The 20,619-nt window shown below is 39.6% G+C and overlaps 1 protein-coding gene across 12 annotated transcripts in view, besides 3 other annotated features; it reads left to right on the top strand.

Moving 5' to 3' along the window:
• The window catches only part of DLG2 (discs large MAGUK scaffold protein 2), a 2,173,362-nt gene that overhangs the window by 10,342 nt on the left and 2,142,401 nt on the right, over positions 1-20,619 (top strand). For all 12 annotated transcript variants that reach the window (NM_001351274.2, XM_017017256.3, XM_047426494.1 and 9 more), the window contains one exon: positions 19,244-19,375. In NM_001351274.2, coding sequence (NP_001338203.1) covers positions 19,244-19,375 — 132 coding nt within the window. The remainder of the gene's footprint in view (positions 1-19,243; positions 19,376-20,619) is intronic.
• Positions 8,480-8,680: a silencer, noted in NCBI's record as "peak1373 fragment used in MPRA reporter construct". NCBI's record gives its function as "represses an SCP1 promoter by STARR-seq MPRAs in K562 erythroleukemia cells {active_cell/tissue: K562}" and the evidence as "EXISTENCE:reporter gene assay evidence [ECO:0000049][PMID:32103011]".
• Positions 9,094-10,053: an enhancer, noted in NCBI's record as "OCT4-NANOG hESC enhancer chr11:85319023-85319982 (GRCh37/hg19 assembly coordinates)". NCBI's record gives its function as "activates a minimal SCP1, AML or CMV promoter by ChIP-STARR-seq in naive and primed H9 embryonic stem cells {active_cell/tissue: H9 hESC(naive and primed)}" and the evidence as "EXISTENCE:reporter gene assay evidence [ECO:0000049][PMID:30033119]".
• Positions 10,796-11,995: an enhancer, noted in NCBI's record as "BRD4-independent group 4 enhancer chr11:85317081-85318280 (GRCh37/hg19 assembly coordinates)". NCBI's record gives its function as "activates an origin of replication core promoter dependent on BRD2, P300/CBP, MED14 and CDK7 cofactors, and independent of BRD4, by STARR-seq in HCT116 cells {active_cell/tissue: HCT116}" and the evidence as "EXISTENCE:reporter gene assay evidence [ECO:0000049][PMID:35650434]".

Genomic DNA, 20,619 nt, shown 5'->3' with positions numbered 1-20,619 from the left:
ATTATGAAACGATTCTCCTGACCTCCTTTATTTTAGGATTTAAGATCAAGAGGAATGGTATAGTATAATAAAGTAGAAAATCCTGTGAAAATGAATTATTAAATTTAAACTTTCAAAGATTATGGGTAAGATTTTTGTAACCCATTTCTTCTGGTAACACCATTTTGCTAGCCACTGAGGCCCTAATTTAGGATACAATTTTGAAGCTTCTATCAGGGGCTTATCATTTTGAAGGACTGTGACATCTTTATCATTAAAAGCATGGTAATACTTGGAATAAACCTATTAAGTTCTGTTCTATTTAAACATCTCTCATAGGTAATAAACAAGCTAAAATTCTTTTAAAAGGTAAACTGGTGTATATATGGTGTAAACTGGTGTATATATTTAAGGCAATGACTCTACTTTCATTTATTTATTCAATCATTTATCCATTCAACAAAGGTGTATTATGAGTGCCTGCTATGTGCCAGGCATAGTGCCAGATGCATGTTTGAAGTAGCAAATGATATTCAATCTCTGCCTGTATGAATCTTAAAATATATTAGGAAGACAGATGCAAAAACAGGCAATTTCAATGCTGTGTGGTGAGGTTAACGCTCTTTGTCAAGAAAACAGACAAGGAACACTCAATCCCACTAGGGAAGATGTAATATTTAAGATGAGATACAGAAGATGAATAGAAGTTTACCAGACAATGTGGGAAATGGCAAGAGGCTGTTTCAGATCATTATTTATTTTTCTTGTTTTTTGGCCTTGAACTATATAATCACATCCTGTGTTATCATCATCATCGATAGCAGTGACATGGTGGAAAAAACCTAGAACAGTAGTCAGAAGATTTGGCTACTAAAAGAAGGGACAGGATCAGGTAATCCGTGAGCTGGACTTGGTCTGTAAATTTAGGTATGTTAGAAGTATCCATTTATTTTCTGTAATTCACCTTTACTCTTAGTAACTGAGTAACAGACAAAATAACTTATCCTTTTTGAAGTTTTCCCCACTTCCCTGGGGTTAAGGTGGGGTTCTGCCTGGAATGGGAGTGTCTTCTGGTTGTTGATCATCTATATAAAACAGCTTACTTCTGACATATGAGTTGTTGTGTCTAGATAGCTCTTTCTCGTCTGGTTTGACAGATATTTGATATGTCCGAGTCATGGACTTTTACCTTTTTCTAGAATGTCTGTGTTTCTGTTTGCCTAGATGCGTTACAATGCCATTCCTCTTGGGTCTTGCTGCCTTCCAAGCAATGTTGCCAATAACAAGAGCCTAGATCCCTGATCCCTTGAGATCCAAAGACTTTTTTATGTTTTCTTCAGCTGGGAAAATTTTTTTCTACGCTGTGAAGGGGCTAGGAGAAGTCCCTTTCTCTGCCTGTACCCGAGAATCTCTTTTTCATCTCTGACAAACTCTTATTTTATTCTGAGGGCTTAGGTTTTTAGAAAGCAAAACTGGAATTACTGAAAAATTCCTTCTGGGTTTTGTCCTGGCATATAGCGCCCCTGAGGCAATAAAGTAGGGAACCAGTTGTCGCTGGAATGAGAAAAAAGGAAATGGGAAAATTTAGGTAGAAAAAAGTTTTAATATCTCAAAGTACCAATCTCCCATGTGTAAAATACAGGTTACTTGCCTTCTTATGATGATGCCACCAAGATCCTGTGAAAATCATGTAATCCTTCTGAACTTGTTTCCTTTTAAAAAAGGGATTTAATGCTTTTTTCCCCCTTACTATATACTGTTTCTTTTTCCCATCAAATATGATAATGTTCATGAACTTCACTTTTACAAAGCTAGTTAGTGATGGAATTAGGACCAGAAGCTTGTCTGATGCTTTCCTTTTTACTGTATGAGTGTGGTAGTCTTTGAACAAGTGAATGGCATCATAGTGCAGTAGAGGAGAGCCCAGGATTGGAATCTAGCTTTTACCATCAGTTGACTACATTAAGCAAATCAACAGATAGAGCTTCAAATTTTTCCTGTTAAAACTTAAGTATAGTACTAATACCTCTTAGGATTATTGTGAGGATCAAATCAAGAGACCTAGACCATATAAAAATTATTTTGTAGATAAGAAACTGCTGTACAAAAGCTTATCATCTGAATGCATTTTTTTTTAGGGGGGTGGGTGGGTTCAAGGAGGAGAAATGTCAGAGTCCCCTTCCATCAGTGGTTTGGGTTCAGCTTCGTGGTCAGCTTCTGGAACAAGCCTGTCCAGATATGGCAATGATGCATTTGATCACAGATAGGAGATGCCATGCGTGTTTTTAAAAAAAACAGGTTATAACATTTCTTATTAAGATTATTTCTCCTCCAAAGATGCTAAAGTAATTTGTAAATCATCTAATATATACAAAATGATTGCAGTCTTCAGGTCTGCTTTAAGTCTTGCCATACATATTCTTCACTATTTAAATTCCAAATTTTATTTATTTATTTATTTTTCTAGATAAATAAATCTGGAATGATGCAAAAATCAGTATTTAGCTGAAGATGCAATTTTTAATCTTTTTTTTTTGAGATGGAATCTTGCTCTGTTGCCCAGGCTGGAGTGCAGTGGCATGATCTCAGCTCACTGCAACCTCTGCTTTCTGGGTTCAAGCGATTCTCCTGCCTCAGCCTCCTGAGTAGCTGGGATTACAGGCACCCACCACATGCCCAGCTAATTTTTGTATTTTTAGTAGAGATGGGGTTTCGCCATGTTGCCCAGGCTGGTCTTGAACTCCTGAGCTCAAAGTGATCCGTCTGCCTCGGCCTCCCAAAATGCTGGGATTACAAGCATGAGCCACATGCCTGGCCAATTCGTTGTTTTCTTACTTTCTGTTTACTGCTGCGTAGCCTTGCACATTTTCTATCATTCCCCTTTAACAAGTTTATAGAAAATTTGAAAGCATGGCTTGTCTGAAAGGAGAGATATAAATTTACCGTTTTATACTATTAATAATATCTTCTTGTTTCAACAGGGAAAATAACCAGATCAACAGGTGTTAGTTGAAGTATATTCAAACAATTCTTTTTTAGGGAGGGTAAAGTATAATTGCAAAGAATAATTATAGAAGAAAGAAGCATTGTGATCCTTTCCTAGTAAATCAAGTTTCAATATGGCATAATGCTTTGTATGGGCTTTGGTGGCAGATAGATCAGCATTTGCATTGTGGTTCCAGCACTTACTGTTATGTAGCCTTGGGCAAATGTACTCTATTTCCCTCAGTCTAAAATTTCCCCATTTGTGAAAATGTATATAGTAGTAGTTCTTAGGATTCTTTTGAAGATTAAATAAGGTGATCAGTGCAGAATGCCTAGCATTGTTCCACAAATGCTAGCTAATATTATTAGTAATAAAATGACACCTTTGTGGTATCACCTTGAACTGTACGTTTGTTTTATTTATTTGGAGATGGAGTTGCACTCTCGTTGCCCAGGCTGGAGTGCAATGGCGCCATTTTGGCTTACTGCAACCTCTGCCTCCCAAGTTCAAGCTGTTCTTCTGCCTCAGCCTCCTGAGTAGCTGGGATTACAGGCATGGGCCTCCATGCTCAGCTAATTTTGTATTTTTAGTAAAAACGGGGTTTCTCCATGTTGGTCAGGCTGGTCTTGAACTCCTGACCTCAGGTATCCACCTGCCTCAGCCTCCTCAAGTGCTGGGATTACAGGTGTCAGCCACCATGCCCGGCCGAACTATACATTTTAATGTTAATTTTTAAAAAAAAAAAAAAACCTGGTTCAAGACTAACTTTTCTGTTGCTATTCATTACTTTATTACTTTCTCATGAGTGTCCTTGATTTGTAAAAAAGCAATAACATCAACAATAAGAATTAAGCATATGTGAATACTTCTTAGTAAAATACTTTTGTGTCTGGAATGAGTGGATTCTGTCTTGTTGACTTCAGGAATGAAGCCACTGATACTCGTGGTGAGTGTTACAGTTCTTAAAGATGGTGTGTCCAGAGTTTGTTCCTTCTGATGTTTGGATGTGTCCAGAGTTTCTTCCTTCTGGTGGGTTCATGGTCTCGCTGACTTCAGGAGTGAAGCTGCAGACCTTCGCGGTGCATGTTACAGCTCTTAAAGGTGGCATGTCCAGAGTTGTTCATTCCTCCTGGTGGGTTTGTGGTCTTGCTGACTTCAGGAGTGAAGCTGCAGACCTTCACAGTGTGTGTTACAGCTCATAAAGGTGGCACATACCCAAAGAGTGAGCAGCAGCAAGATTTATTGCAAAGAGCGAAAGAACAAAGCTTCTACAGCGTGGAAGGGGACCCAAGCGGGTTGCTGCTGCTGGCTCGGGCAGCATGCTTTTATTCCCTTATTTGGCCCCACCCACATCCTACTGATTGGTCCATTTTACAGAGCGCTGCTTGTTCTGTTCTACAGAGTGCTGATTGGTCCGTTTTTACCAAGTGCTGATTGGTGCATTTACAAACCTTTAGCTAGACACAGAGCACAGATTGGTGCATTTACAATCCTTTAGCTAGACACAGAGAGCTGATTGGTGCATTTACAATCCTTTAGCTATACAGAAAAGTTCTCCAAGTCCCCACCTGACACAGAAGCCCAGCTGGCTTCACCTCTCAATCCCATCTCTAAACAGGACACCCCAATTGCTGTCGGGAATTTGGCCGATGACTGCTCTAGCTACTTTCTGCTGGATGGGGTGAAGAAGGGGCCCTGCAGTTGTGGTGTCCTCCAGAGGTTAACTCTTTAGGCCAGTGAAAGGACTGGTGGGTCAGTCCAGGGGTCCTCAGTAGAAGTTGTTAGTTGAGCTCATTTAGGGTTCCATTTGTAAGACCATCGGTAGCTTGATGGCCTCGATTCTAGAGGAAACAAATTTGACAAGCAGGTTAAAAATACAGGGCCCAAAGGCGAGTAACAGCAAGATGGCTGCCATGGGACCTAGAAAGGGGAGGAGCCATATTGCCCAACTCTAGAGGTTGGTAAGAGTTTGAAAGGCGTTTTCTGATTTCAGAAGCCTTTTCCTATAAACGCCGGACAGCATCTCATACTATCCCTGACTGGTTAGTATAAAAACAACACTCTACCCCTAAGAAGGTGCAGAGTCCTCCTTTCTCAGCAGTGAGGAGGTCTAGGCCTCGGTAGTTTTGGAGAGTCACTGCTGCCAAAGAGTCTGTTTGGGGTTGTGGTTACTATCCTTACTGGATAGATTTTGTTATTTCTTGCAAACTGTCTGAGAATTCCTGTGAGAGTGTGTGGTAGTAGGATAATGAAGTACATAAACCTGCTATTCCAGTTTCTGTAGCAGTAGCCATTCCTAACCCTATAAGTAGGGGTATTAGTTGTATGGCTCTGCGCTGATGGACTTGAGCTTTGAGGGGTACTGATAAGGTCTGATTTTCATAAGATTAGAAGTTAGGATAATATATGTTACACTGTAAACTTTTAGCAAACTTTACTTTTGTTGAAAACCTTGTAAGTTTGGGATTTCAATTATTCTTTGCTATTAGTAAGACCTCGTTCAGTCCATATTAACTTAAAATTGGTATAGATGGCTCCTTCCTGATTCTGTAAGTACTTTAAAGTTTGGCTGAGTGCAAACAGCTCGCACATTTGAGCAGACCAATTATTAGGCAATTTTCCTAACTCTGCTTCTACAAGAGTTTCCTCACTGAATATCCATTGTGTCTTTGTTTCCTTACTTGCCTGGGAGGAACCATCTATCATCCTGTCCTGAAGGGAGTTCCTCCTAGGTCTGGTCAGACCTTCGTATGATAATTAGTTAAGATTTAGATCCCTTGTTGGGAAACCTGCTGGGTTAAGGATTTTTGATAGGAAGGCTATGGGTTGTCAGTGGCCTCAGTGCTTTCGGGCTATGCCCTTGTTGACACTGACAACAAGGTGGTATTGGAGTGATATAGGGTTACAGAGAAGACCTTCAATTATCAATTATAGGTTTTAAATTTACCCTGACTTTTAAAGGAATAGGGTACACTGTTTTTTCTTTACTACTTCTATTTCTTTCTGTCTCTTTGACTCCTTTGTATCTTCCTCTCTTTCCTTCTCTCTTTGACTTTCAGTCTCTTCCTCTCTGTCTCTCTCTTTGACTTCCTATCTCTCTTTTTCTCTCTCTCTATATCTCTGTCTCTTCCTCTCTCTCTCTCTCTGCTGGTCTTTCCCTGCCTCTGCCAGCTGCTTATGCTGCTGTTCTCCCCTCTCCTTCCCCTTTTTGATGGCTTCGACAGTGTAAGACTGCCACCCCCTTGGGTTTTTGCACTGAGTGCAATAACTCCATGATTTCCTTGTGGTATTTAATGGGGGTTCCCCCAGAGGTTAGGAACTCCCTTTCTTTCCATATTGTAGCATAGGCATGTAGGATTAGATAAGCATATCTGCTATCTGTATACACATTTATTCTTTTTCCCTTTCCCAGTTATAAGGCTCGGGTAAGTGCCACTAGTTCTGCTAACTGGGCACTGGTCCCTGGGGGAAGAGGTTTACTTTCAAGTACGGTTACATCATTAACTATGGCATAACCTGCCCGTAGTATCCCATTCTCCACAAATGAACTTCCATCAGTCTAAGTGGACTTCTAAGAGATCATCTCGGGCGGCATAAGTTTGGACTATAAGTTTGGCAGTCATGCTGATTGGTTCCCCATCCTCTGGGAGAAAAGTGGCAGGGTTGAGGGCTGCACACATAGGTATTTGAAGCACCGGTCCTTCAAGGAGTAGTGCCTGGTATCTAAGTAGGCAGTTGTCTGATAGCCATAAACTTCCTTTGGCACCTAGTATGCCATTTACATCATGAGTAGTCCAGACAGTGAGATCTTTTCCTTGTATTATCTTGATAGCCTCTGACACTAAGATGGCCACTGCCACAACTACCCTTAAACAGTGAGGCCAGCCTTTTGCTACTACATCAATTTTCTTACTTAGGTATGCCACTGGTTGGGGGTTCATCCCATGAGCCTGCGTAAGGACTCCAAGAGCTATCCCTGCTGTCTCTGTGACATATAGAGATAAGTTTTGTCCTGTGGGAAGGCTTAAAGCTGGAGTTGTACTAGGGCCCGCTTTAAGGTTTTGAAGGCTGTTTCTGACCCTGGTTCTCATTCTACTAGATGAGTATTTGCCCTCTGGGGCTCCTTGATTAGAGTATAGAGTGGTCTGGCCATCTCGCTGTATCCGGGGATCCATAGTCGGCAAAAGCCCGTGATTCCAAGGAACCCCTGCAACTGTTTTAATGTCTTAGGGTGATGATAAGCCAGTATAGGCTGTATTCATTCCTTGCTGAGGGCCCTGGCCCCTCTGGCTAAGATTAAGCCTAGATATTCGACCTGCTGTAGGCAAAGCTGGGCCTTTGACCTAGATGCCTTGTACCCTTGATTAGCTAGAAAGTTCAAGAGATCTAGAGTAGCCTGTTGGCATGAGGCTTCCAAACTGGTAGCCAAAGGTAAATCATCCACATACTGAAGGGCCAGAGTGCCTGAACTTGAGAAGTGGCCTAGATCTTGGGCCAGTGCCTGACCAAACAGGTAAGGGCTATCCCTAAACCCGTGGGGCAAGATCGTCTGTGTAAGTTGGGATGTGTGGTCTGTGGGGTCCTCACAGGCAAAGAGAAACTGGGAGTCAGAGTGCAGGGGAATACAGAAGAAGGCATCCTTGAGGTCCAGAACAGTGAACCATTCTGCTTCCTCTGATATTTGAGAGAGCAGGGTATAGGGGTTGGGTACAACTGGATATAGAGGAATTATTGCCTTATTGATGAGTCCAAGATCTTGCACTAGTCTCCACTGACCATTCAGTTTTTGTACTCCTAGAATTGGGGTGTTGCAGTCACTGCTGCATTTCCTTACTAAGCCTTGAGCTTTTAAATGTTTAACAATATCTTGTAATCCTTTATGAGCTTCAGGCCTTAAGGGATGTTACCTTTGATAAGGAAAAGTGGTGGGATCTTTTAGCCTGATTTGGACTGGGCGGGCATTTTTTTCCTTCCAAATTATCCTTCCAATGCCCAGACTTCAGGGTTGATTCCCTTCTCAAGTAGGGGACAACAAATGGATAACTTGTTCCCCATATTCATGTAAATAATAGCTCCAGCTTTGGCTAATATATCCCTCCCTAATAAGGGTGTGGGACTTTCAGGCATAACAAGAAAGGCATGTGAAGAGAGCAAAGTCTCCCAATTACAACTGAGGAGGTGGGAGAAATACCTGGTTACAGACTGTCCCAGGATTCCCCGGATGGTAACGGACCTTGAGGACAGTCGTCTGGGACAGGAGATTAACACTGAGAAGGCCGCACCAGTGTCCAGGAGGAAGTCAATTTCCTGGCCCTCAATGGTTAAACGTATCCGGGGCTCAGTGAGGGTGATAACATGAGCTGGTGCTTGCCCCAGGCACCCTCAGTCCTGTTGTTGGGTCTTCTTATTGGGGGTTACTGGCCCAGAGAACCTCTGCACTCTGTGGCAGTGCACCTTCCAGTGATTGCCTCAGCATAGCAGACATGGACGAGGGGGCAGCTTGTTTCTCATTGGACAATCTTTTTTAAAGTGTCCTTGTAAACCACACTGATAACAAGCCCTACCGAGTGATTGGCCTGCTCCATTTTCTGACCTCTTTGAACCACCAAAGTTTGTTTGTCTGAGGGCCATGACTAAGGCTGTGGTCTTTCTCTGATTTCACTTTTCCTTTTGGGCCTGTTCCTCTTGGTCCCTATTATAGAACACTGAGGTTGCCTGGTTTAATAATGCCTCCAGATTTTGTTCAGGGCCCAGGGCTTGCTTTTGGAGCTTTCTCCTGATATCTGCAGCTGATTGGGTAATAAATGTATCTTTTAGAATCAATTGACCCCGTAGTGAGTTGGGTGACAGGGGAGTATATTTTCTTAAGGCCTCCCGTAGCCACTTGAGGAAGGCAGAAGGATTTTCTTCCTTTCCCTGAGTTATGGTGGACATCATTGAGTAATTCATGGGCTTTTTCCTAATTCTCCTTAGTCCTTCTAGAACACAGGTCAACAGATGTTTATGACTCCAGTCCCCATGATCTGAGTCAGGGTCCCAGTGGGGATCCATACTGGGGATGGCTTGCTGGTCAGTAGGGAATTTGTCCCTTTCCTCAGCTGTCATTCTATCATTTACTTGACTGAGATACCAGGTATCTCCAAACTCTCATGCTGCAGCTAAAGCCACATTCTTTTCATTAAAGGCCAGGGTTTGAGCTAACAATAGCATGACATCTCTCCAAAAGAGATTGAAGGTTTGCCCTAGACCCTGTAGGACATCTATGTACCTATCAGGACCATCTGAAAACTTCACCAGGTCTGCCTTGATCTGCTTTAAATCAGAGAGGGAGAAAGGGTCATGTACCTGGGTGGGGCCAAATTCCCCACCCCCTACAGCTTGAAGGGGACAAAACTGACAGCCTGGGGGGTTTTGTGGTCCTTTGGAGATTTCTTTGCTTATTTCCTTCTGGGCCGGGGAGATTAGAGGAGGCTTATCCTTAATGGGAAGGGGAGCTGTAGGGAGGCTAGGATATGAGGGTAAGCTGAAAGATCCTCCTGTGGGATGTAAATTGCAAGCTTTGCATAGTTATGTATTCTCCTTCAATGAAAAGAAAGCATGGACGTAAGGTATTTCACTCCATTTGCATTCCATCTTACAGAAAAGGTCAAACTGCAGGATAGTATTGTAAGTTATACTTCCCTCAGGTGGCCATTTTTCCCCATCAGAGAGAGAGAGAGAATAATGGGGCCAGACCATAGTGCAGAAAAAAATGAGCCACCTCTTTTTCAGGGTTTTTGGGTCAAATTGGTCCCAATGGCTTAGGATGCATTTCAAGGGTGAGCCTTTTGATGCCTGAGTGTTTCCCATCTGAAAGACAAAACCACCCATGGTTTTGGTTTGTTTCTCCCCATGCCCAAGAACCCACAACGGTCCCTGGACCCTGCTAATCAGAATAGTTGTGCTCACCGCCACAGCAGCAGAAACACTAGTTTTCCTCCTAGACCACAAGGAGGACCAAGGAAGGTCGGATTTAGTGGCCCTTACTGATGCATTCTCGAAAACCTGCACCCTTGCCTGTCCTCCTAGACCACAAAGAGGACCGAGAAAAATCCAATGTAGTCACCTTTACTGAAGCATTGTCGAAAACTTGTTAGAGTCCTAAGCATTCTTCTGTTAGTATTGGGATTTTACCCATGTCCTATAAAGATGTTATGCCCCAAAAATTAAGTGGAGGGCCATACCCTGAGGGAGGGGAGGGATCTCCAGAATTGGAAGACTGATGCCTTTTATCTTCACTTATATGAATAGGAAGGATACAATTTCTGAGGCTCCCCATATCCTAGCTGTAGGAATAGCCTTTATTAGGCCTGCTTGTCTGAGGAGGGATCCTAAAATTCCAGATAGTCTCCCCTATGACGGGGCTTTGGGCAAAAATTATGTCTTTTTGATTGGTGAGCCCAGGTGCCAAAAGAAGGTAACAGAGTCCTGGAGTTTATACTAGAAATCATTCTTATAGGAGAAACTAGAAAAGCACCAGAGAGAGCGAGTGGTTTTTATAAGCGGGACTAGCCTTGGAGAAGACAGGTGAGAGGAAGTTTATCTGGCAGGCGTTAGGACCCGGGGGCAAGGATCAAGATAGATGGATGAGTCTTGCTTGGGCGACATGACTTTGAGTTTCACTCATGGCTGCAGGGTCAACCAACTTGTTGTCGGGACCCTGGAGTTGAATGACTTTCCCCTCTGTCGACCCTTGGCTCAGCCCAGAAGTACGGGAAATGCAGAAGCTGGTTCCAGGCAAACCAATGCTCCCAACTCTGAAGAGTCGGGGTTTGTTAGAGAGCCCTTTCCCAGAAAGCCTGACACCCGTGTCTTTAGTCCGGCGGCTGTGCTAGTCACTTTTAACTGGCCAATAGGTGTCTGGTATTTAGCCCCTGAATTCTAAGGAAAAATAGGACAGAATAGCAAGTGAAAGTGGTCCAATGGTACTCACCACTTGGCGATAGGCGATAATCTCACTGCTTGGCGAAAGGTGATGGTCCCTTCATGGTCGCCAAAATGTGTCCAGAATTGGTGGGTTCTTTGTCTCTCTGACTTCAAGAATGAAGCTGTGGACCCTCGTGGTGAGTGTTACAGTTCTTAAAGATGGTGTGTCCAGAGTTTGTTCCTTCTGATGTTTGGATGTGTCCAGAGTTTCTTCCTTCTGGTGGGTTCATGGTCTTGCTGACTTTAGGAGTGAAGCTGCAGACCTTTGCGGTGAGTGTTACAGCTCTTAAAGGTGGCGCGTCTGGAGTTATTTATTCCTCCTGGTGGGTTTATGGTCTCGCTGACTTCAGGAGTGAAGCTGCAGACCTTCGCAGTGAGTGTTATAGCTCATAAAGGCGGCGCAGACCCAAAGAGTGAGCAGCAGCAAGATTTATTGTGAAGAGCGAAAGAACAAAGCTTCCACAGTGTGGAAGGGGACCTGAGCAGGTTGCTGCTGCTGGCTCAGGTGGCCTGCTTTTATTCCCTTATTTGGCCCCACCCACATCCTGCTGATTGGTCCATTTTACAGAGAGCTGCTTGGTCCATTTTATAGAGTGCTGATTGGTCCGTTTTACAGAGTGCTGATTGATCCGTTTTTACCAAGTGCTGATTGGTGCATTAACAAACCTTTAGCTAGACACAGAGCACTGATTGGTGCATTTACAATCCTTTAGCTAGACACAGAGCACTGATTGGTGCATTTACAATCCTTTAGTTAGACAGAAAAGTTCTCCAAGTCCCCACCTGACCCAGAAGCCAGCCGGCTTCACCTCTCACTTTCATTTTCTAGTCCTAATGTCTAATAAGTAATGATAAAATTGTGATCATTCAATTTTGTATATATTTAAAATATGAAAAATGTCTAATTGTTATTGCTTGTTTTAATGGATACATATCATACTATAGTTAATCGTTCTAAATCTAAAAAATGGTCATATTCCTCTTCAGTTAAAAATCTTCCATGACTTGACATTCTACCCTTGGTATAAGGCCAAACTTGTTAACATTGTACGTATGCCATCAACTTAATTCTCTACTCCCATGGTACCTGGTACCTTATGATACCATTCTTTTTTTTTTTCTTTGAGACAGAATCTCTGTCTGTCACCCATGCTGGAGTGCAGTGGCACGATCTCAGCTCACTTCAACCTCCGCCTCCCGGGTTCAAGTGATTTCCTGCCTCAGCCTCCCAAGTAGCTGGGATTACAGGCACCCGCAACCATGTCCAGCTAATTTTTGCATTTTTAGTAGAGACGGGGTTTCACCATGTTGGTCAGGCTGGTCTCGATCTCCTGACCTCAGGTGATCTGCCTGCCTTGGCATCCCAAAGTGCTGGTATTACAGGCGTGAGCCACCGCTCCCAGCCGTGATAGCATTCTTATACTCTGTTTTAATCTTTCACTTTGTTGGAATTTCCTAGTTAATTATCTTTATTTTGAGACTAAAATCTCTGTGAGGGTAGACTATTGCCTATTTTGTTCAGTACTGTGTTCCCAGTGTCTGGATATAGTAAGATAGTCAATAAATACTTGATTAATGGCTGAAATAACCTTTTTCTCTATCTACCAGACTTATAAAGGTAGGACCATTTTTATTTATATGTTACAAATACAAATTAAAAGACTAAATTTGAACATTTGTGATTCAACATTTAACCCTAGATTCTAAAATTCAGTGATACGATTTATGTCTGATTGGTCAAGTTTTATTTTATTTTTTCCATAAAAATATGCTCATCTCCATTTCTGGAGGATTAAGGGTGGTATTGTGGAGAGAACACTATACTTGGAATCAAAAGCTTTTGGATTAAGCTCCAAATCTGTTATTTAGTAGCTGTGTGATCTTGGACAAGCCACTCTGAGTTTCAGTTTCATGTAAAATAGGTATGACTTCTCAGTGGTGAGAATCAGATAAGATAATGCATTTAAAAGTTCTTTTTAAACTGTAAAAATGTTGAATAGATTTATGTAAAATAATTTCACTATTCTAAATGCTTTATTTTCCAAAATTTGCCTGTTAAATTCACCTTTTCTCTATTATACTTTGATCTGAGTTTTCCTAATGATACCACTGTATGTTCTGTAATTCTTCATTTTTTAAGCCATGGCAAATGATTTTATGTATCATCATTTTCTTTTCTCTAAAAGTTCATTTGTTAGCACTATTGCCAATCACTGTTTCAAATTTAAATTACCTGTCCCAAATTATTTATAACTTTCTGGTGATGCTATTCTTAAACCATGTACAATATAGAGTTGAACCTTAATTAACAGACACATGATTACCTACAGTTCTAATTATGTAACATTCACTATCCCTTGGTTGCATATTTCATGCAAAAATTTCTTATTTTAAAAAGTGATTCTCCCTTCCCCCCCATTTCCTCCTGTGCCTGCCCTCAAGTAATCCAAATTTAGCTTTTTTTTTTTCCTGTAGACTCAGGAGTCTTATGAAGGTAGAGTTTAATGAAGAAAACAGGAGAATTGAGGCAATTTAGATGAAAAATTCTCCACTTGGTTATTTGAACATCAATTAAAATATGAATCTTGACTTGCTTGGATAATTATCTCAGCTTTCCACTTTATTCAATTTATGGAGATTAGGTTAGGGATTTTTAATTTGTATGAAAAGATCCTTGCCATTTGTCTCATTTGTTTAATTTGTCATTTTTAGATTACCTTCAAACTTTCATTAACCAGAAATAAGGATTTGAGTAGAGAGAGTTGAAGAGCATAATAGAATTGACTCCAGGTGATGATCATTCTCAATAATCAAAAGCAGCATAAAAGGGCAGCCACAATTCCAGCCCTAGATGCTGGTGTGTGAAAGCCTAACTTGGAGACTTGATTATATACGACCTTTTAAAAATATTTTAGCATTTTTTATGTGTCAAATTTTTATCCTACAGCGATGAGAGGCATAGTAAGCTCTGCTGGTTTAGAAAACATCTAGCTGTTTTGAATCAATACAGTATTTTCCCTTTATAGTTATTGGATAAATATATGCTAAATGAGTGAGTGAAATTCCCCTTACTTATCTAATTATATTTGTAGATGTGATTGTGGGAATATTGTTAATACATTTTTGAGAATTGCTCTTAATTTTACTTATTTACTTAGAGACAGGGTATTTTACTTATTTATTTAGAGACAGGGTCTCACTCTGTAGCCCAGGCTGGAGTGCAGTAGCAGGATGGTGGCCCACTGAAGCCTCGAACTCCTGGGCTTAAATGATCCTCCCATCTCAGCCTTCTGAGTAGCTGGGAGTGCAGACGTGCACCACCACACCTGGCTAATTTTAAAATTTTGTTGTAGAGAAAGGGTTTTGCTCTGTTGCCCAGGCTGGTCTCGAACTCCCGGTCTCAAGCCATCCTTCCACCTTGGCCACCCAAAGTGCTGGAATTATAGGTGTGAGCCACCGTGCCTGGCCAAGAATTGCCCTTTAAAAGAATAAACGACTAGGGTAATACCTACAACAATGCCACAGAAGCTTAAAAAAAAAGGCTTTAGTTATAATTGTATTAAAAAAAAAAAGAGAGAGAAAAGAAAAAGGTGCTCAGCACTTGTAGGTTTCCCGAAAAATGTCGGCAGACTTTAATGAGGAAATGAAAAAGACTAAAGCTTTGGGCACTAGAGGTAATCACGTGATTAGAGCCCACAGATACATATAAGTAGAGAGAGAGGTATAGTATAATTATTGTATTGTTGATCACCTACAGTGGTAAGTAAAGTAACTATTTATATTTGTAAATAGTGTGTAGGGATGGGTTAGAAAGTGAGCCACCATCATTTTGGGGAAACTGCTGATTGTTTAATTATTGACAAAATGGGGATTAAAATATTTGTCCTTGATTCAGAGTTGTTAAAACATTACGCAAGTAAAGTGTGAAATCATTTTTAAAAATTAAAGTTTATGCAAATATATTAGCACACATTTATATCACCATTCTTTGTTAATATAAATTGGAGTGAGCTCTCTGTTCATCCACATTTATTTCTATATTTCTAATCTTACTAGATAGAAGAGGAGTAGTTACGCAATGTCCTCCTCCATCTCTTATTGCCCAATTGAAATTCTCATTTCCTTCAAGGGGATAAGCTTGAAGTTTGCTATGTTATATAGGAGTATTAGGGAAGGCCTTACTACTAAGATGATATATAAGCAGAGATATGAAAGAAGTGAAGGAGCAAGCTTTATGGATACCTGAGAGAAGAGTGTTATAGGCAGAATCACAAGTATAGAGGCCATGATATAGGAGAGTTCTTGATATATTTGAGAAACAGCATACTGTGGTTGGAGTAGATTGAGCAAGAGGAGAGGTCTAAGAGCTGAAGTCAGAGAGGTGGGCCTTTGCTCTGAGTGGGATGGGGAGACACTGGAGGGTTTGAGTTGAGGAATGACATAATCTAGTTGATGACTTGAAAGGATATTTTTGGCTATTGGGTTTAGAAAAGACTGTAGGCCAGCCTGGGCAACATAGTGAGACCTCATCTCTACAAAAAAATCAGAATTCAAAAAATGATTTGGGAGGATCACTTGAGCCTGGGAGGCTGATGCTGAAATGTGCAGTGATTGCCCCACTACATTCCCATCTGGGTGACAGAGAGAGATCCTGCTTAAAAGAAAACAAAAAACAAAACAAACAAACAAAGACAGAAAGAAAAAAGAAAAAAAAGAGAAAAGACTGTAGGAGGGCAAAGGTGACAGCATGTAAACTAGTAGAACATTGCAGTAATGTAGGGGATAGATGATGATGGGTTGTGCCAGGGTGGTGGCACTGGAGGTAGGGAGAAGTGATGGGATTCTGCATATAATTTGATGTTGGAGCCCACAGGATTTACTGATGGATAGATGTAGAGAATTAGAGAAAAGAATGAATGCTGACTTCAGGAATTTGGGTCTGAATAATTGGAAGGGTGAAAGATGGAGATACATTGGAGGAGAAGCAGACTGAGGGTGGGTGGATAAGATCTGGAGTTCAGTTTTGACAAGTGAAGTTTGAGATGCTTATTAGACATCCAAATGGAAATGTTGAGCATTCAGCTGGATATGAGTCTGGAATTCAGAGTAAAGTTCTGAGCTACAGATATACATTCGGAAGTCTTGAGGGTGCTGGTAATATTTAAAACTACGGAATTAGATAAGATTATCAAGGAAACTGGGTAAGATTATCCAGGGAGTAAGATTAAAGAAGTCTTACCATGTTCAGAGGTATTCTAAACATCTTAAGCCCTCATTGAGAAATTAGAGGGAACTAATAAATGTGATTGAGAAAGGGCATCCATGAAGTGGGAAAACAATCTGGGAGAGAGTGCTGCCCTGGAAATAATGGTGTGCTGGAGACGGCTCATGTCAGCTTGCAAGAGCTTATCATTAAATTTTCAGCAAATTTGCAAGACAATACAGCCATTTCAAAAATGTTAAAGCCTGGCACGGTGGCTGACACATGTAATCCCAGTGCTTTGGGAGGCCGAGGTGGGTGGATCACAAGGTCAAGAGATCAAGACCATCCTGGCCAACGTGGTGAAACCCTGTCTGTACTAAAAATACACAAATTAGCTGGGTGTGGTTGCACACACCTGTAGTCCCAGCTACTCAGGAGGCTGAGGCAGGAGAACTGCTTGAACCCAGAAGGCGGAGGTTGCAGTGAGCCGAGATCACGCCACTGCACTCCAGCCTGGGCAACAAAGTGAGACTCCATCTCAAAAAAAAAAAAAGTTAAACTCAACCACTTAAAAATTATGCATAAACTATGGACCAGGCATGGTGGCTCATGCCTGTAATCCCAGCACTTTGGGAGGTCAAGGCAGGAGGATTGCTTGAGGTCAGGAGTTCAAGACTAACTTGGGCAATGTAGGGAGACCCCATCACTAACAAAAATAATTACACATAAACTTAACTAAATTATATTAAAAAGTAATAAATACTCAACAGTCATCAATTCTTAATTATTTTTCATTTTCATACCATCTCTGCTCTTGAGTTATTTACATTGATTGTATTTGTGCGGTGGATAAGCTACATAATGGTATGCTGCTGTGCATCTTTTCTCAGATCCATGTTCAGAGACATCATGTTGGTACCTTGAAATTGGCCATGGTGGGAATATTTAGACTTTGGAAATTGCAAATGCTACAAATTTGGGCTTGATTTATTGTTTTGCTGATAAGAAAGTGATAAAGTAAATACTAATAATTTAAGCGCAAGTTAAAAGCATTTTGTGTCTGTTGCTGTTACATTGATATTAGTACAGAAATTGAGGAAATATTTGTCCACTATTCAAAAATTATTATCTGATTCAGTAAACAAATAACATAATTGAGTGAGGTTTTCACAAAAACTATCTTTGTTGTTTTATTTTCATTTTATTAATATGACAACATAATCAAACCACATATATGTTGGAACTACTCATTCATCAGTTATAACCCTAAGTTGGCTATGAATACAAGAATTTGGTAAAAACCAATAAAAATATTATTGAGAATCAACTGACTAATGGAATTTACAATTAAAGGTTGTATATCTTATTATTATTTGTAGACTGGTTGCTATACATCCTTGTGTCAGTAAAATTATAACAAACTCATGTGCGTGTAGGTGCCCATGTTTTCCTTTTTATCTGAACTAGTTTTTAAGTATTTACCAGCACACCTGTGTGGAAGCCTAGTGAAAAAAGTGTTTTCAAGAGTGTGACAATATCAAATGATGCTTATGGGCCAAATGAAATGATTGATAATTGACTGCTGGATTTAGTAATGATGGGATGATTGAGTGGAAAAGAAAGCAATTGATAATGGAACAATTTCCTTGAGTAAGCAAGAGAGGATATATTCCAGTGCTCAAGAGAGGAGTTGACCTTAGAAACAAATTCTTTATTCATAGTAATATAAGGGAAGGCAGACTATGTGGGTGCAGTTACAGGTAAGTCAGTAGATGTTATGTTAGGAGCTTGTGGAATCTGCCTTCTGATTTTCCATGTAATAGGAAGTAATACCATCAGCTGAGAATGGCCATGAGGAAGAAGAGTTGGAAGGTTCAAGAGAAAGGAGGAAATAGAAAATAAATATAAGCTATTGTTATTATAATTGGTATTTAGGCTTTTTTGAAAGTGATAGATTGGAAGGGAAGGAGGGCTTTTAAATTCAAAGACAATTATCACCTAAACACAAAGGTTGTATAACTCTAGTGACTTTTTCAAGGATGTTTTGTCTTGTGAAGGATGAAGACATTATTCAAGAAGTCATAAAATAATAAGATATGGGTTTAAGACTGCCGACAAATTCGTATAGGCAAAGTGGTTTAGAAGAAGACGGAATGATGATTAATTTTAACCATCAGAGATGGCTTTATGGAAGAGAGAGCATTTGAGTTAGATCTGAATGAAGAGAAAGTAGGTGTTCAGTTGACTTACTTGATTATTTTCTGTGTGCTGGATATTGTGCTAGGGATTGTGCATATATTGTCTAATCATAACACCTGTGAGGAAACTGAAGCTCAGAGAGGTTAAGGAACGTGTTAAAGGTCACACACAGCTAGTAAGTAAGATCTGGGTCATACCTAGATTTGCCTGACAAGAACCCCTTTTCAAGATAGCACGCTGATTCTAGGGAGTATATACAGTGGTATAGGGGAAGAAATACCAGCACAGAGAACAGTAGGAGCAAAGAAAAGTACAGAGGTGAGAAAAAGTAGAGAGAGAGAGAGAGAGAGAAAGAGAGAGGTGGGGGAGAGAGCAAGTGTGCACGTGCATGCGTGTGTGTATGTATGTGGGTGTCTGCGCATGCATGCGTGTAGAGGAAAATGGAAGGGAAAAGTGAGTAATCCAGTATGACTTAGGCACTGTATGTGTGTTTGGAGAGTGTGGACTATATAGTGGGAAATAAGGCTGAAAATATTTGATCATGGGAGGGAGGCCTCAAGGGTCATGTTAAGGAAGTTGGATATTATTTTGCAGGAAGTCATCAATTTTAAGGTCAGTGTCTCTGACAAGAGAGAGTTATATCTAACTTGAACATCGTGGCCAGGATTGAATTCTTTGTTTTGTTTTACAGTTAGGGATTCTTTTGGAAGACAAGACTATAGAAATAAAACTGGATTGTTGAAATTGGCCATTGAGTATAATTATTTTCATATGGTAGTTTATAGAAATTATGATTATTTTATTAAGTTATTTCATGTCATTAAGTTAGGAACACAATTATAGAATAGTTTAATGTTAGTTTTCTATTTTGCTAAGACCATAAAATATAATAATAATATCATGTTTTTCAGATACTGACCGAGCTTTATCATTACTGGAAGAATACTGCAAAAAATTAAGGAAACCAGAGGAGCAGCTGTTGAAAAATGCGGTTAAAAAGGTGATGGGTATCTTTAAGAGCAGCTTATTCCAAGCTTTGCTAGGTATGTATTATGAAAGTTATTCATCATTTTAATGGTCAGAATTGGGCTTGATAGTTTGAATAATGTGGTCAAAGAACCTGATGTTAACCAAGTTTCAAACTGGGATAATTTTCTTTAATACTGGAAGGGAAGATTTGTTTTGTTTTATTTTGTTTTTTGTTTTCCTTTTCCTTATATAAGGTTAACCTAGAAAGGAATTGTTTGAAAATATAAATAAAAAGAGGTTATTGAAAGATATAAATATTGAAAGAATGTTTCATAAAGGAAGAAAAGTTTACACAGAAGAAAACCCTGAGTAGTGTGTTATAAAACATTGAGGACAAATATGCTAAAGAAGGAAGTTGTCTTCCTTCAGGGAAGGAATTGTGTAACATAAAAATGATGGTTCACATTCTACTCAGAATCAAAGTTACACTTTTACTCTCTTCTTAAAACAAAAATAAAAACATCTTTTCATCTTTCTTGCTTGTCTTAGGAAAGTTTATGATCCAGAATTGAAAAGTTTATTGATGAAAATCTCAGTGCTTTGGAATTCTTAGCAATTTGTCATGAAGCTAACCATATAATGTTTAAACTTATGTTTATTCTCCTATTTATTAAAGATTGTAAAGAAAATTAAGGATATGGTTTATTTATATATTTTTTTTTATATACATCTCTTATATTTGTGCAAATAGCTTTTAATTCTTTTTTATATTTTAGGAAGTAAAATAAATTAACAAAATATATAAATAAACAAATACTTTTCCCAAAAAAACAACCAACTAACTAAACAATGAAAAACCCACTCAATTATACAATATATTTTGCCAGATTTAAATAAATAACTGATTTTAAATAATTTTAAAGAAATAACTGAGTCTCCTAGATATTTTCATTGCTTTTTCATGCTGGTTATTATTGATATAAAATCAAAAAATAGGAACTTATAAGGCTTAATTATGAAAATACTTTGTTTTCATTATAAATATCTGTACTTTTTGATAAAAACTCCAACTTTATAGTTTGAATGTAATTTTAAAAATTATTCAATTTTGAAAATTTGAAAATCGGTCTATTGAATAAAAATAGAAGTGTAAAGCTTTACAGGATTATTTTGCCTGTGGATTAACTTTTAAAAAATATTTTATTGTGGCTAGCAAGAATTAATGACATAACTGTAATCATCTTAGCTGGTATTAAATAAAAACTCTAAATGGAGTCCTACAGAATTTGAATAAACCTTATATTCAGCAAAGATAATA

Source organism: Homo sapiens, chromosome 11 (genome assembly GCF_000001405.40).
Source record: "Homo sapiens chromosome 11, GRCh38.p14 Primary Assembly".
Lineage (NCBI taxonomy): Eukaryota > Metazoa > Chordata > Mammalia > Primates > Hominidae > Homo > Homo sapiens.
This window is presented reverse-complemented; position numbering and strand designations above follow the sequence as displayed.